Source organism: Homo sapiens, chromosome 9, assembly GCF_000001405.40.
Source record: "Homo sapiens chromosome 9, GRCh38.p14 Primary Assembly".
Taxonomy (NCBI): Eukaryota; Metazoa; Chordata; class Mammalia; order Primates; family Hominidae; genus Homo; species Homo sapiens.
In genome coordinates, this window is record NC_000009.12 from 127331238 (window position 1) to 127346877 (window position 15640).

The following is a 15640-nucleotide window of genomic DNA, read 5'->3' on the forward strand; positions in this document are numbered from 1 at the left end:
CAGCACTTTGGGAGGCTGAGGCAGGTGGATTGCCTGAGGTCAGGAGTTCAAGACCAGTCTGGCCAACATGGTGAAACCCCATCTCTACTAAAAATACAAAAAAAAATTAGCCAGGCATGGTGGCATATGCTTGTAATCCCAGCTACTCAGGAGGCTGAGGCAGGGGAATTGCTTGAACCAGGGAGGTGGAGGTTGCAGTGAGCTGAGATCACGCCACTGCACTCCAGCCTGGGTGACAGAGTAAGACTCTGTCTCAAAAAAAGAAAGAAAAAAAAAAACCACTACCCAATTTAAGGAAGAAAAGCATTAAAAATATGATTGAGTCCCTGTTTACGCCTCCCTGCCCCTGTTCCTCTGTCTTCCTCCCTTCCCTGTGGAAGCTGCTATCTATCATTTCCACCAGATCAGAATTAATTCGGTTTAAAGTTGGAGATGGTAGATTGCACATTTGTACCAGCTACTGCTTGCTTGGCTTGGGCTTGCTTTTTTTTTTTTTTTCACATCTGTTTTGTGACTTCTTCAGATTGAATATCTTTAGGAATTGGGGAAAATGAGCTTTTAGTATAAATTGCCTATAATTTTCATTTCTGTGTCTAAAAGAGTCCACAATATATCAGCCTGAGATTATGTTAAGCTTTGAATTACAACGAACTCTTCTTCGCTGACTGGGATTTGGACGGTTGCTCATGGGTTGATTGGAAGATGGTGCCAGGCCTGTGAGTTCCTGTGGCCATTTGTTGGAACCCTGTTTTGCCACAGAACAGAACTGGTATCCTAGAGATGCCATTAGTAATGAAATTACAAATGAACGAATTCATAAAAGCATACAGTCTCATCTGTAAGCTATAAATACCTATCAAAATGAAGGAATGATTGTTGTTAACATTGGTCAATAACCCAGATGGATGGGAGGAAGGGATCCCCTGACTGTCCATCCTGGTGACTGCCATTGTGCTAAGTCACGAACAGCCCATCTCAAAACTATATACGCTGTGATGATAAAATTAACTGTAACACCTTTTGTTATTATCCTAAGGGCTCTGTGAATTTCAAGTTTGGGGTTCTTTTTGCCAAAGATGGGCAGCTCACTGATGATGAGATGTTCAGCAATGGTGAGTGATCTCCTCCCGCTCTCTGCTGCCAGAGACCCTGTCCTGCCTTGTTGCATTCTTGCCAGTTGGAGCTTAACTTGTCTGTTGAGTTGGAGTCTTTAATACGAGGAGATAGTTTTACACAATTTCAGCGTGAATTTTGTAGGGCAGTTGTTGCCCAGTTTCATTCATTTGGCAAATATTTATTGATCACCTCGTTTGTACCCAGTCACTGTTCCGGGCACTGGAGAGACAGAAGAGCACATGGGATTTGGAGAATTTGGTTCTACACAGTCCCAAGAGCAGTGGAAGATTTTTCTGTGATTTTTATGAGAGGAAGAATTATAAGATGGCGTCATCTTCCTAATATTTAGCACTTTTCGTGTTAAATACCTGCTTATTCTGAACGCAAGCAGTAATAACATTTTTGTTTTGCGATAGTAAACACCTGTGGTCCCAGGCTGGCAGTAGTAAGCTGGGTTCATCTGATTCTGCAGTTTTCCTTTCCTTGGAGTCCTGGGAATTGTGGGGCTTCCTCATGGTGCTCAAGAAGAAGGAAATGTGACTTACCCATGCTGTTTACCATGCATGAATCGGCAGAGCCCAGTTAATTTTCCAGCGATTCCGGTCCATAGTTAGAAAATGAGGACTTGTTGATGCCCATACTTTCCTCATACTCTACTTCTTCCTGCAGAAATTGGAAGCGAGCCTTTTCAAAAATTTTTAAATCTTCTGGGTGACACAATCACTCTAAAGGGCTGGACGGGCTACCGTGGCGGTCTGGATACCAAAAGTAAGCCTGCCTCTTGATCTATTCTGTTGTAATTTGTATAACTTTTGTAAGTCAGCCTGACCCGTGTCTGAACTTATACCAGAGAAGGGGGAAGGGATGGATGAGAGAAGACTGGAGGGAGGTGAGCTCCACACCCTGTTCAACATAGAGTCATGGACCTGTTTGGCATTTCCATTGAGCTTCGTAAAACTAAATCAGCCCTCACAGCCCTGGACAGTGTCAGAAGTCCTGGTCTGCCCATGAATATTACTGCTCAGCACCATCTGTGTGCCAGGACTCTGGGGATATAGAAGTGGATAAACCAACATGGGGTCCTCCTTTCTAGGAGCCTGCAGTCCAGGGGACATCCAGCAGATGTTATGCAGATAATCATCAAATGGTTTAGCACTAAGTACAGAAGGCAACTGAGAAGAAAAAGTACAGAGTGCTATGGGGCATTTTGCCTAATCTGGGGGATTAAGGAAGGCTTCTCTGAGCTTTTTTGAGGCCAGAGGGAGGGGCGAGTCGGAATAATTGGAGGGTCTCGAGGGGAGAAGAGAATTCCAAGCAGAGAGAACATCCATGAAGACCTTGTGGCAGAAAAGAACATGTTGTGTTCTAGAAACTAAGAGAATTTGTTTATGGCTGGAGGGAACGAGGCACTGAGAATGATGCAATGTGGCCTGGAGTAGGAGAGGGGGCATGACCCTGAAGGGAGTTTTGAGGTTATATTAATAAGTCTGCATTTTATTCTCTGTCATTAAGGGGTTTCAAGTAGGGGAGTGGTGAGATTAGATCTGTACCTTTGAGCAGACAGGGGAGGCAGAGGAGAAGCCTGCTCTCAGAGGCTGTGGCAACAGTCCAAACAAGAGACAGGGTTGCCTTGGGAGAGGGCCATAGGTCAGAAGGGAGACAGGGGAACTAATTCAAGAGCCATTTTCATGGTAGAATTGGCAAGTGGAGGTTGAAAGAGGAGACAGTACTTGAAGACACTTCAGGGTTTCTGCCCTGGGTAGCTGGGTGGGGTTGGCACCAGCGGTGAGATTGGAAACACCTGAAAGGAAGCATTTTGAGGATGGGGGCCTGAGTGGGGAAGGTAGGTAAGATTACAAGCTTAGGGTTGGAAGTTCTTTCACCATCTCATTTTTGTGTAGCATTGCTAGCTTTTCCCTTTGTTTCTGTTTTTTTGCTTTATTTGATCTTCACAGTCAGTCCTTGAGGTAAGTCAGGCAGCGGGTGTGAGGCCCTTTTGGCCTAATAGTGATAGGCTTCGAGTGCAGGTCTCCTTACCCTCTGGGAGCCTCATCTTCCCACCAGCCTGCCATGGCATCACGGATTCTGAATTCGGGAGAGCTAAGTGTGCCCTAACTGACAGATGCAGGGATAGGGGATTGGGCCCCAGTTGTCAGGTTCCAGCTTCACTCGAACACACATAGAGTGCACAAGGTGAATTCTTCAATGCCTGCCTCTCATACCCCCGCTGCCAACCCTCAGCGTCTCCAATATGGTCATAACAACCATCCACTGAGCCCTTGATACAGCCAGGCATTCTGCTAAGCACTTTGCAAATATAATCTCATTGAGTCTCCCCAATATCCCTAGGAGTTAGATACGACTTTTATCCTCATTTTCAAATTAAGGAACTGAGGCTCAGAGAGAAGTGAGGTAACTTGTCAAAAGCCACATAGCCAATGACAAATTGAATCCAAGTCGGCCTCATTGTAAAGCCTTTGCTTTTAATCACAAACAATTCTGTCACAAATACCACTTCCTTTTGGCTTATGGACATAATTGTTTGTGTCATCTTGTGTTAATTTCATCCCGTACCTCCCACAGCAACTGCAAGGCAAGGAAGCTCAATACTCTCCTCTTTAGCCTGGACTTCTTATGACCTTCTCCATTCTGAGGCAAGGCATGAATTGGACAGCAAGTGAGCTTAGGGAGAGAGGAAGAGGCCTTTCCATGTGGGGGGTTGCATCAAGTGGAGGGTTGTTGCTTCCATGCAGGTGGATAATCCAAATATCTTGGAGAATGTCCTGTATACAGTATTTCCCTAGTCTGCAAATGAAAATGCTTTCCTTTTGGCTCGAATTCTCTGTGCTCACTGAATGCATATTTATATTTTGCAGATGATACCACAGGGATACATTCAGTTTATACTGTGTACCAAGGGCATGAGATCATGTTTCATGTTTCCACCATGTTGCCATATTCCAAAGAGAACAAACAGCAGGTACATGTGAACATACAAACCATCAAATAGTGATGTGAATGTGGAGAGGGCACCATTATGATTCCATAGAATTAGGGGCTATGCCGGTTAACATATGAGCTGAGCTGTGGCCACCAATTTAGGGATGCTTTTGGCGGTCTGTATTGGAACTTTCTACAAATCTTAGGAAGAGCTATTCTCACTGGTGCTGTCACCTTAGAGAAATAAGGGGTCAGAGATAATAATGTGCATGCGTGTGTATGTGTAAACATGTATAGGTATTTGTATGTGTGTGAGTGTGGTTTCATAGACTCTTTTTTGTCTCTCTCTTTTTTTTTAATATATTTGATTCAAACATTCTTCTATCCAACATGGACTCTTGAGAGACTATTTTGTATAGGTGTTACCTTTTCTCTGTGCCTTCTCTCAGTGTGCCTTGTGTCTTGTCAAAATGAGACTCTCCAGGACATATCATAAGTGGTCCTGTGTGATGGTTGACAAGTATTGTTATCAGGTCACTGCAGGAAGTTAACACTGAGTATCTACATGGGATGTACCAGGCTGGGAAAAAACCTCTATCTAAGATACTCCTCACCCACCCCAGAGCTTGGCCACTGAGACAGGAGCAGAGGAGATGGGTTGGTGAGCAAGGGCCTAGGCTGGCAAAACATGGGAAGCCTGAAGTCAAAGATGTCTGAAGTTCAGGGCTCTGTCATAGTGGCTGTGGTTTGTTATATTGGGTTATGTTTTTTTAACTCTGTGAATGTGCCATGTTTGAGAGTCTTTCTCAGTGATGTTATTTATGCTCACTACAGGTGGAAAGGAAACGCCACATTGGAAACGATATCGTCACCATTGTGTTCCAAGAAGGAGAGGAATCTTCTCCTGCCTTTAAGCCTTCCATGATCCGCTCCCACTTTACACGTATCCTGGGCCTTTGTAAATGCTCCAGTGTGGCAAGCTGTGGTTCAGCCTCACTGGACTTCCATGACCCTTAAACCAAATCTTGTCATGGACTTGTTTTGTAATGCTAGCTTTAGACTCACTTTTGGGGAATTTTTCCTAAGCATTGTGTATAGTTCCCCCTTCCTCTCTCCTTCCATTTCAGTAGTAGATGGATTAATTCTCAGAGAATTCTTGACTCCTGAAATATGGTCTCTTTTCTCAGGTAGTCTACAAAATGAGGAAAACTTCCTGCTATCCTTCAGTCATAAATGATTTAGAAGAATTATAGGTGCTGAATTCTCTGAGAAATTTGCTTTAGGCATAAAAACTTGCAAGTTAAGATAAAAGGCCAAAATAATTTTTCTTGTTGATTTAAGCCCTGGTAATCGCTGTTGTATTACCATCTCTTGAAATTTGAGAAATGATAGAATTAATAGTATTTTTATCTGATTCCCCTAATCCCTGTTCAGCTCATATTGCTGGCAAAGTCCAGCAATGGGGCTGAAGCTTCTGCAGTGTCTGAGCTCAGCTCTGCCAGACAGGCATGGGGCATGAGCTTGACCTGCCCAGCAGACACTCAGTTGTGGCCCTGTTGCTCTGGGTCCCAGACCATGACAGCAAAACCCAAAGTTGGTGGCTCTACTGGTTATACATAATAAGCAAAAGGCAACAAATCAGCATTTTCAGAATAAATTCTAGTCGAGTTACTCATTTCCCTGGAGGCTCCAAGTAAACATGTTTGGAGACAGGCCCACGGTGACTCATGGCATCTGGAGACTTGGACTTGTTCCTTGTGACATAAAAATAGAGGATGGAAGTAAGTGTTTAAAAGTTAACAGTTTCCAAACTTTCTTCCATGAGGGTAGGGAAGCAAACAATATGCACTTGCACCTTCATTAGAATTTTCTTCCCTTTTCATCCCTGCTTTCTGAGTAATATCTGCCCCTGTCCCCTGGGATTTAGGACTAATATTTCCCCTTTCTAGAGGTGGTTCTTCTTGTATAACAGAAAACTTCTCCAAATTCACAGTAGAAGCAGTGGTGAGGTGACTGTTCAGGTGATTGAGAGGTAGTCATTATTTTTTAGAATTTCCCTGAGTTATACGTTTTAGATTTGGGGCTTGGCACATTTGTTCCTGAAAAGGGGCAAGCAGATCATTAAGGCAGATTCATTCCAGGGAGCCTAGAAATGGAGACACTAAGGAATTGATGGCTCCATAGCCCTAGCCAAGGAAAGCAGGGGTTGGGAGATGGTGGGTGGAGGTGGAAGGGGAGGAAGAAGAGTGGGAGAAAGGAAGAAGCTGGATGGATTCTTTCCTACTATTTTAGACTCTGCAAACCCCAGCACAAGCTAAGTAGATTCTGCTCAGAATCTGCCACCAGCTACAACAGGCTTGTTTTGTTTTGTCTACCAAACCCAAAAGGAGAGAAAGGGAAGGTATACAGCGGAAACATTTAAATTGCTTTCCCTTTCCAAATGTGTGAGATGAAATGTATTACTAATTTCCTATTGGGATCTTGTTTGTACTTCCAGGCAAGGGAACTGCTCTTTTTGCTTTGCTGACTGCTTAGTTGTTTAATAGCTATATTTCTATTGCTTTTCTGACAGCTTTGGAGATTTAAACCTTTTCCCCAAAGGATGCACATACAAACATTGAACCTACTCATGGTGCCCTCACATAAGTCTCCCTGGGCTGTCTCTTGGAAAGAAGTATGGGTTCTGTCCCAACCTAAGAGTGATAGGTGCCCTAAGCACAGAAGCGCTGGTCGAGAATGACTCTGCACAAGGGATTTTCAGAGCGCAAGCTGTCAGTCGTGAGCATCAGTGTTGTGATTAGTTCCCTTAACCATCACCACAGATATTTTTGCCTTAGTGAGATACAATCAACAAAATGACAATTACAGGTAGGTAATGACTTTGTCTCGATTGCTTGTCCTAATTCTCATGCTTGTTAATTTAGCATTGATTTTTACAAGACTCTTGATATACATATTTCTTGATTGATTTAATATGAGTGCCTGCACCTTACAAAACTTTCTTCAAGGCCACCATCTCTTCAGGAAACATTTACTCCATCCAGTGTTGTTCCATGAAGGAGACCTAGGGGTCAGGGTTAGTTTGATATTTTATTGTACTTTACCATGGGAACAGGTTTGATATATTTGATCTTCATCCTTTCCTAGTCTACATTCTTGCCTGCTTATCTTTCTGTTCTCAAATATTAATCTGTTAAAAGGTATTATGTTGTAAAAAGAACCTGAACTTTGAGCCAAATAGATTTGAGTTCGAATCCCAGTTCTATCATTTATTTGAGGCTTTGAAAAAAATGTTTTATCTTCTTGAAGCCTCAGGCCTTCTGTGTAGAGTGAAGGTAATGACACTACCCCGGCAGGTGTAGTGACAATCAGAGGCAATACTGTATCTTAAAATACCAAGTATGCTGCCTGGTATGCAGCAGGTGCTCAGTGATGGCCATTGCTCTTCTTCCTGGGTACCTGGCTTGATGGGTTGGACCATGAAGGATTCAGGAAGACCTGGTCTCTATCCTCAAAGCACATTGACTAAGCTGGAGGGGAAAGCGAGGTAGTGGCCTCGGCCCTGGCAGACCAGAGAAGGCACTCCTGGCATGGAGCAAATATTCCTGACACATCCCATATGCAGCTGGATAAATGGAAGGACAGAATAGTGGTGTATTACTTCATTTTCATACTGCTAATAAAGACATACCCAAGACTGGGAAGAAAAAGAGGTTTAATTGGGCCTGGCGTGGTGGCTCATGCCTGTAATCCCAGCACTTTGGAAGGCTGAGGCGGGCGGATCACGAGGTCAGGAGATCGAGACCATCCTGGCTAACACGATGAAACCCCGTCTGTACTAAAAATACAAAAAATTAGCCGGGCGTGGTGGCAGGTGCCTGTAGTCCCAGCTACTTGGGAGGCTGAGGCAGGAGAATGGTGTGAACCCGGGAGGCGGAGCTTGCAGTGAGCCCAGATCGCACCACTGCACTCTAGCCCGGGTGACAGAGCGAGACTCCGTCTCAAAAAAAAAAAAAAAGAGGTTTAATTGTACTTACGGTTCCACATGGCTGGGGAGGCCTCAGAATTATGGTGGGAGGCAAAAGTCATGTCTTACATGGTGGCGGCAAGAGAAAATGAGGAGGAAACAAAAGCAGAAACCCCTGATAGGCCTATCAGATCTCATGAGACTTATTCACTATCACGAGAATAGCACGGGAAAGACTGGCCCCCATGATTCAGTTACCTCTCCCTGGGTCCCACCCATGGCATGTGGGAATTCTGGGAGATACAATTCAAGTGGCGATTTGGGTGGGGACACAGCCAAACCATATCAAGTGCTAATATTAATTCTGCAATATTCTCTACTTAGGCTGAAAATATTTTCAGAAGAGAGCGTACCACTCTTTGGCCCTCCCTTGCCAACTCCACCAGTGTTTACAGACCACCAGGAATTCAGGGACTTTTTGCTAGTGAAATGTAAGTTTCTGTTTTGAAACAATTTTGCAACTTGTTCTATGTCAGAATACATTTCTTCAGATTCTCCCAGAATGCTGTTTAAGGAAATGTCATTGTTTAAGCATTCCATGTTCCGTTAATTCTTTGCACAACATGTGTTTAGTATTCTGGTCATGTTGTGCACGTTTTCTCCTATGTTTTCATCCCCACCTTCCATCCTGTCACCTGCCTTGAAGCTTCTCTACACTCACCCACTAAGGACCCTCGGGCCTCAAATTTGCCTTTCTGCCCTGTGTTCTGATAGAGCCATTGCTGAATCTCTGCTTGTATATGTATCTGTATCTGTCAGAGAGTGGGATGTAGGTGGGGGAAAGAGTGGTTGTGGGTATATGCTTAGGGATAGGGAGAGTTGTTGGGGAATGTGTGTGCACACTTGCGTGAGTGTATATGTGCACCCATGCACATGTGTGGGAAAGAGAAAGACAGAATGAGAACATAATGTGTGTAGACCATGACTGCCAGGCATCACTTGCTGGTGAGCACATATTTTCACTCTACTGGTAATACCCAAATACCCGACTCTGAGGCCACATCTCTTAAAGCACAAGAGCTCTGCGCATCCCTCCTCAGGGCACCCCTGGGAATTATTTCTGGTAGTCCCATGGTGGGACTGTGTCATTGATCAGAAACAAGTTACTCGGGTTCATCTGCTGCAGCTTGCTAGCCGCACGCCCTGGCAGGGCTGCTTGGTCTATGCCCTCCATGAAGATACTGCTTTCCAGCCTCCTGCCAGGTATGCTGGGCATTGCAGCTGCTTTGCTGGCTGCCTCCTGTCCCCACCTGCAACTCCTCCCCACTACAGTCTTTGCCTAAGTCTGTCACTGTTGCCGTGCAGCTCTGAGACATCTAGAATGCCCCTCTCTTCACTCTGTCCGTCCTGGTCACCTGGCCTCAAGGAAGCATTGACTGAGCCCAAAGCCTCACTGAGTCCTACGTGGACAAGTGTTACCCAACCTCCAATCTTAATCCTACTCCAGTACTGGCCCAAGCCAGTCCCTCAGGCCAGGGCAAGGGACAGGCACATGTTGTTTCTCCTCTGTCTTCCTGTCTCCCCAGTCACTCCTTCACAGTCCCAAACATGACTTCTCCTGCACAGAAACAGTGCCAAGCATGAGTGTCAGTTCTAGTCACCAGAAACATCCAAGTCCTGGCCAGGCTGTTTGGTAGCCTCTCTTCCATAGGAAACCCCTCCCTTCCCTTTCAGAGACCTTGGCATGATTCCACAACTTTGTCCTGGAGAACAGAGACATGAAAGACACCTTTGCTGAGGCTCCCTCTGCTTTCCAGCTGGGCTGCCTCTCTTCCCAGCTGGACCACCAGCGTTGTTACCTCCCATACTCCAACCTATACCAGGGTCCATGGGTGATGTCTCCCTCGACACATTAGAGGCAGCAGACACTGCAAACCATGTGCAACAGATGATGATTTTGTCTCTCCCTTTCCAGTATTTATACTCATTATTTCAAATGCTACAACAAGGTCCCAAACTCAGATGCCTGGAGAGCCAGGCAGGGAGCATGAGCAAGTGAGGCGGGCTGAGTGGAGGACAGTCAGGAGTGCTGGGAGCTGTGACACACTTGAGAGCATGTGCTCACTCCATCCAGCTGAGGCCTTTCAGAGCATGCACCATGGCCAGGGTTGCCAGATACTCTGAGTTTTCAAATCAAGCCAGAAAGCTGAAATTGTATGTGAAATTGTCCGAGTCTCATGTGTTCAAGTCCAGAGGATCAGACAGAGAGCAAGAAACAGATCTGAAACAGAGTCAGCAACAGAGTGGGTGTAGCTACTGGAAGCTGAAAGGGTGTTGGCAGCATGGGGCTCAGGAAGACAGCATTCACTGTAGGGGGCCTGTGGCAAGGAAGGGGCCGCTAAAGACCTGTAACCACCAATTGGAGATCACTCAGCAGCACTAGGGACCCGGCTTATAAGTGGAGCCAGTCAACAGATGGACTTTCATCAGCGTTGTCAAAGACTTGAGGTGAAATGAAACGAAGGGCTGGGTTGATTTGACATTGAAGATTTGAAAGTAGAAACAGCAGAAGAATGCAGGCTCAAGGTGATGGAGAGGGTGTGTTGAGGAGATGGAGTGTGGGGCCAGGAAGGACCAGGAGGGGTTGGTGCGCTGAGAGGACAGGTAGCAGCCGGCGGATCATAGAGTCTCGGAATTCCAAAGTGGATTGAGCAGCGAGGTTGAAAACTCTGAGATTACAGGAGATGGCATTTCAACAAAAATCTTGACCTTTTCCTTTTCAGCCGAAGCGAGGCTTTAAAATGGATTGTTCCAAGGTACTAAGCAGAAAAAAAACCTCAAACAAAAAAATTCCTAGATTCACAGAACTAAAGAAAAGAACAGACAAGCATAGTTTCAATTCTTGTGTGTGTGTCAAGAGATATCTTGTAATTCCCTTTTTAACTTGATTTATTTTAGTAATTAATGGTGAAAAAGCCACTTTGGAAACCCCAACATTTGCCCAGAAACGTCGGCGTACCCTGGATATGTTGATTAGATCTTTACACCAGGATTTGATGCCAGATTTGCATAAGGTAATTCTGGGTCCATGGTCTTCTTTCCTTCTTATGGGGTCTGAGTTGAGAACACAAGTCCTCAACTCAGCGATGAGGCCCTGGTGAGAAAAGCGTAGGAGGCGCCTTGATCCTTGCTGTCAGGACTGTGCTGTGGCCACCATGGGCTGACAGTCTCTCATTGTGACACAAGAAGGAAGGACATTGGGTTTCCATACACAGGAATGCGATTTCCAGAAAGCCAGGGCCTGTGGAAATCAAGGTGCAAACCAGGGACAGGGAGGTTGGGTATCAATCAGCAATCTCTGGAGCATTGAAGAGTGCTTTTTTTGGGGTGGCTGTTCTTGGTAATACTACTCAGCATTGCCAGTCACATGAGCTGATGGGCAGGCAAAGGTGGGATTTTTAGAAAGACATAGGGTGCTTTTTTTTGGAGATTTATTGGCCAGCCCCATATTCAGGCACTGAAACAAGCATTCCCATTTACTGAAGACCCAGACACTTCGTAGGCCTGAGACATAGCCACACTGATGAGACCCAACACCTTTCTATCACTTCAGGTGCACATGTGCTCTTTTCTTTTTTTTTTTTTTTTTTTTTGGAGACAGAGCTTCTCTCTTGTTGCCCAGGCTGGAGTGCCATGGCATGATCTCGGCTCACTGCAACCTCCACCTCCTGGGTTCAAGCAATTCTCCTACCTCAGCCTCCCAAGTAGCTGGGGTTATAGGCATACACCACTGCACCTGGCTAATTTTTTGTATTTTTAGTAGGGACGGGGTTTCTCCATGGTAGTCAGGCTGGTCTCAAACTCCCAACTTCAGGTGATCCACCTGCCTTGGCCTCCCAAAGTGCTGGGATTACTGTCATGAGTCACTGCGCCCGGCCGACCAGCACCATTTTATAGGCACTCCTTGACTCTTGTCTGGTCGGTGTACCCCAACCACTCGCAGGGATTGGGCCAGGCTAACCCCAGGACCCTAAAGAGCAAACCTCAATTGGTAATCTCTCAATTCCGTAAGGTCAGGGAAGACACAGAGAGGGTACCAAGATGAGCAATGATGTCCTTCAAGATAAGTAATCATATCCCAGCTGAAGCATCACTGCCTGAGCCAGGCTTCCCTAGCCCCCCAGTTGAAGCCAGGTCCCCTGTTAAATGTTTTCATGTACTTGCCACACTTCCCCTTCATAGCAGTGATCACATGTGCTAAACATGTCGTTGCTTAATCTGTCTTCCCAGTAGACTCTGTGCTCCACAAGGATAGAGACTATGTCTATCACATTCCCAAAATCTGGCAGAAGACTAGGTGCTCAGTCGGTACTTGCTGATTGAATGAGCATACCCCATTCAGTGACTACAGTTTTAAAGAGAACTAACATTACTAAGTATGCACTAGGCACTGTGCGAAGTACCTTACATGCATTGCCTCATTTAAACCTCATAACACACCTAGGAGACAGGTATTAACCACACAAAGACACTGAGATTCGGAAATTAACTAATTTGCTCAAGGCGACCCACAAGGCTGCAGATTTGCACAGCTCTAGGGGTACTGTTCTCATAGAATTCAGTTTGTTGTGTTCCAGGGGGTGCTGCTGTGTAAGATTGGCATCCCAGAGCTGTGCAATGTGGTGGCCCAGGTCACACTGTTAGTAAGTTAGTAAGTGATACAGCTGCAGGTCTGCTGATTTCAAAGCCGTGTCCTCAGCCCCCATGCAATGCTGGCTCTCCACCTAGTGACTCTGAATCTAGTATCTACCATGGACCTGGTACACAGCAGGTGCTCCATCAATGCTTATTGAGTGAATGAAACAGAAGGTAGAAATAGGACCATTTGGATAAATAGTTTTGTGCACTATGAGAAGCCAAAAGATGAGACTTAACAACTGTTTGTGGAATTCATAACTTGTTTTTCTTTTTTAGAACATGCTTAATAGACGATCTTTTAGTGATGTCTTACCAGAGTCACCCAAGTCAGCGCGGAAGAAAGAGGAGGCCCGCCAGGCGGAGTTTGTTAGAATAGGGCAGGTGGGTTTTCTTCTGAAACCTTTTCTGCGAGACATGTAGTTTTGAGTTCCATCCTAACCAGATGGCCCATGTGCAAAGACTTTGTTTGCCTGCTGCTGTAGGAGCTCTGTAATTTCTGTTAGGATTGTTGTGGCAACCACGAGTGAGATTTTTGAGAACCGAGTAGGTGCAGTTCTCTGCAGGCATCACTGAGAGAGCAACACTCTGCAGAGGTAGGAATGCTACTGCCTCAAGGCAAGTAGCCACAGGGCCCAGCTCTGGGCCCCCCTCTTCCAGAGAACACAGATCTCTTGCCTGCCTCCTAGGAATTTTCTGAAGAGTGAGGAGCCGATTTGGGAAATGCCCCTTAAACCCATGACTGGCAGGAGGAAGCACAGAGTGGCAGTGGCACTCACAGAAGACTTGAATTACCACCCTATGACTTGGAAACAATCCAAGTCACCACCAAGTTAGGTGGTGCCCAGTCATCCCCTTATTCCAGGCATTGGAGAAAATCACTCCCTTTGCCCCGCTCGCATGTGACACTGGTATTTCTCAGTTCCGGGAGGCGACACAGCTGTCTGCCTTGATCACACATCACAGCATGGAGAAGGAGGAGTGCCCTCAGCTGCAAATAAGGTTCTGGCCCAGAAGTAGAAAGCTAGACAAGGCAGGTGGAGAGAGGAAAGCCATGTAATCAAGGGAAGCTTAGTTACAAGGTTCTCAAACATTGGTTCTTGTTTAAAGATACCCAGACTTTATTCCCAGAGATTCTGATTCATCAAGTTTGAGGAGGGACCTGAGAATCTGCATTTTTTCAAGCTCATGGTTTATAAATCACAGTAATGATATATTGATTCATTGAAATGATAAAATGCATTTGGATAATTTGGGTTGCGACATTGTCATTAAGGCTTCACTGTGTCCAGCTAACTTCAATTCTTGATTAACAAGTCAGTAGAGGAACCCGAAATGTTAGCCTGCAATTACTCCTGTTTTATTAAATTTTTGTCAAATCACAATTGTTTATCCTGCTGTACTTTTGCCGCCTAGTAAACTTTAATAGAGATCTCTGTTCTGTAAGGCACTAAAACTGAAATCCATTGTGAGAGGGGATGCTCCATCAAGCTTGGCAGCTTCAGGGATCTGTAAAAAAGAGGTGAGTTCATGATACTTTCAATTTGAACTTTGAATTCCCCTTTTCCTTAATGAAAATGATTGAGATTATTGGAAAAAGGTTTGAGAGCAGAAGGAAGAAGAGCATGTCTACTGCAGAGTCCTCAGGGAAAGCCCTAGATAAAACTGAGTGGCCATTTAGTGAGAGCCTCTGTGTTGCCATGGTATGCACATGCCTTCACCTGCTTCAATGGAGCAGAGCTGCTGGAGGACCGACCTGGTCAGGCAGGCCAGGCCCCACAGGGCCTCTCAAGCTTTATGTGCATACACATCACTTGGACACCTTGACCAAATGCGTGTTCTGATCCAGTAGGTCTGGAGTGGGGCTGAGAGTCTGTGTTTCCAACAAACTTGCACGTGGTTCCTGTGCTGCTGACCACAGACATGCTTTAAACAGCAAGGCTCCTGGGCAGTGCTGCTCAAGCTTCAGTGTGTATTGAATTCACCCCCAGAGTTTCTGATTGAACAGGTCTGGGGTGGGACCTGAAAGTTTGCATCTCTAATGGCTTCCCAGGTGATCTTGATGCTGTTGGTTAGAGGACCACAGTTGAAAAACCAATGCTTAATCTACAGTTCACTCAGCCAGCCAAAAAATTCTTTGGCTATTTATCTACATCCTGTTCCACTTTCCATGGGGGTAAAAACTAGGTGATCATCAAAAATAAAACAGACAAAAATACACAAATTATATTATGAATATGATTTTGTATTGTAGAACAGTACCCCATGTACTTAATTATATCTCCATTCAGAATACATAAAAGTTAAATGGGACAGATTTACAGCACATCACCAGAGAAGTGTCCATTATAAAAGCAAAATAATTATGAATACATTTACCTTACTGATAAAGGTATAGATGATGTGAGCCTACGTGCTTTAAAGTCTGGTTTCAGGAAAATGATGAGCTCAAAATATAATTAACCCTAAAAACCACAACCAACTTCAGACAAGACTACTGGAAAAGCATCCTTCCCAAAGGCTGCAGCAGTTCCAGTGTCTGCTTGTTCCCATGCACAGTAGGAATTTACTGTTTCCAAGTACGTTATAGATACCAGATTCCAGTAAGATTTAATAATGATAAGAAGTTTTTAGGCTTATATTAAAAACAGAAGTCTGTGGAACCATAACTTGTTCACCAGGTAATAACAGAGCGAGCGTCCATTGTTGAGGTCAGTACTTATAACCCACCCGCAGGCCGTAGACCACCTCAGAGAAACTCAGCTCCAGAGGGCCCCATGGGCTGCTGCTGTGCAGTTGGCTCTGCAGAGGCCAGAGCCCCCTGCTGTTCCCAAGTGTTCTGTGCCCAGAGAACCCGGCTTTGCCCACCTCTTCAGCACTCATCGTTTCATGAGCTGTGGTCATGTTCTTAGAGAGTGCCCA

General features: G+C 45.2%; 1 protein-coding gene across 17 annotated transcripts in view, besides 2 other annotated features; it reads left to right on the top strand.

Annotated features, from left to right (window-relative positions):
* Window positions 1-15640, top strand: part of GARNL3 (GTPase activating Rap/RanGAP domain like 3) — a 169048-nt gene that overhangs the window by 106625 nt on the left and 46783 nt on the right. For all 17 annotated transcript variants that reach the window (NR_104591.2, XM_047423963.1, XM_011519086.4 and 14 more), the window contains 9 exons: window positions 1037-1112; window positions 1786-1884; window positions 3993-4096; window positions 4891-4999; window positions 6879-6924; window positions 8408-8514; window positions 10982-11097; window positions 12998-13102; window positions 14166-14240. Coding sequence is in view for 16 of the 17 variants with exons in the window: in XM_047423963.1 (XP_047279919.1) it covers window positions 1037-1112; window positions 1786-1884; window positions 3993-4096; window positions 4891-4999; window positions 6879-6924; window positions 8408-8514; window positions 10982-11097; window positions 12998-13102; window positions 14166-14240 (837 nt within the window). In the remaining variant the exon portion in view is untranslated. The remainder of the gene's footprint in view (window positions 1-1036; window positions 1113-1785; window positions 1885-3992; window positions 4097-4890; window positions 5000-6878; window positions 6925-8407; window positions 8515-10981; window positions 11098-12997; window positions 13103-14165; window positions 14241-15640) is intronic.
* Window positions 1198-2397: an enhancer, noted in NCBI's record as "MED14-independent group 3 enhancer chr9:130094714-130095913 (GRCh37/hg19 assembly coordinates)". NCBI's record gives its function as "activates an origin of replication core promoter dependent on BRD2, BRD4, P300/CBP and CDK7 cofactors, and independent of MED14, by STARR-seq in HCT116 cells {active_cell/tissue: HCT116}" and the evidence as "EXISTENCE:reporter gene assay evidence [ECO:0000049][PMID:35650434]".
* Window positions 4805-6004: an enhancer, noted in NCBI's record as "MED14-independent group 3 enhancer chr9:130098321-130099520 (GRCh37/hg19 assembly coordinates)". NCBI's record gives its function as "activates an origin of replication core promoter dependent on BRD2, BRD4, P300/CBP and CDK7 cofactors, and independent of MED14, by STARR-seq in HCT116 cells {active_cell/tissue: HCT116}" and the evidence as "EXISTENCE:reporter gene assay evidence [ECO:0000049][PMID:35650434]".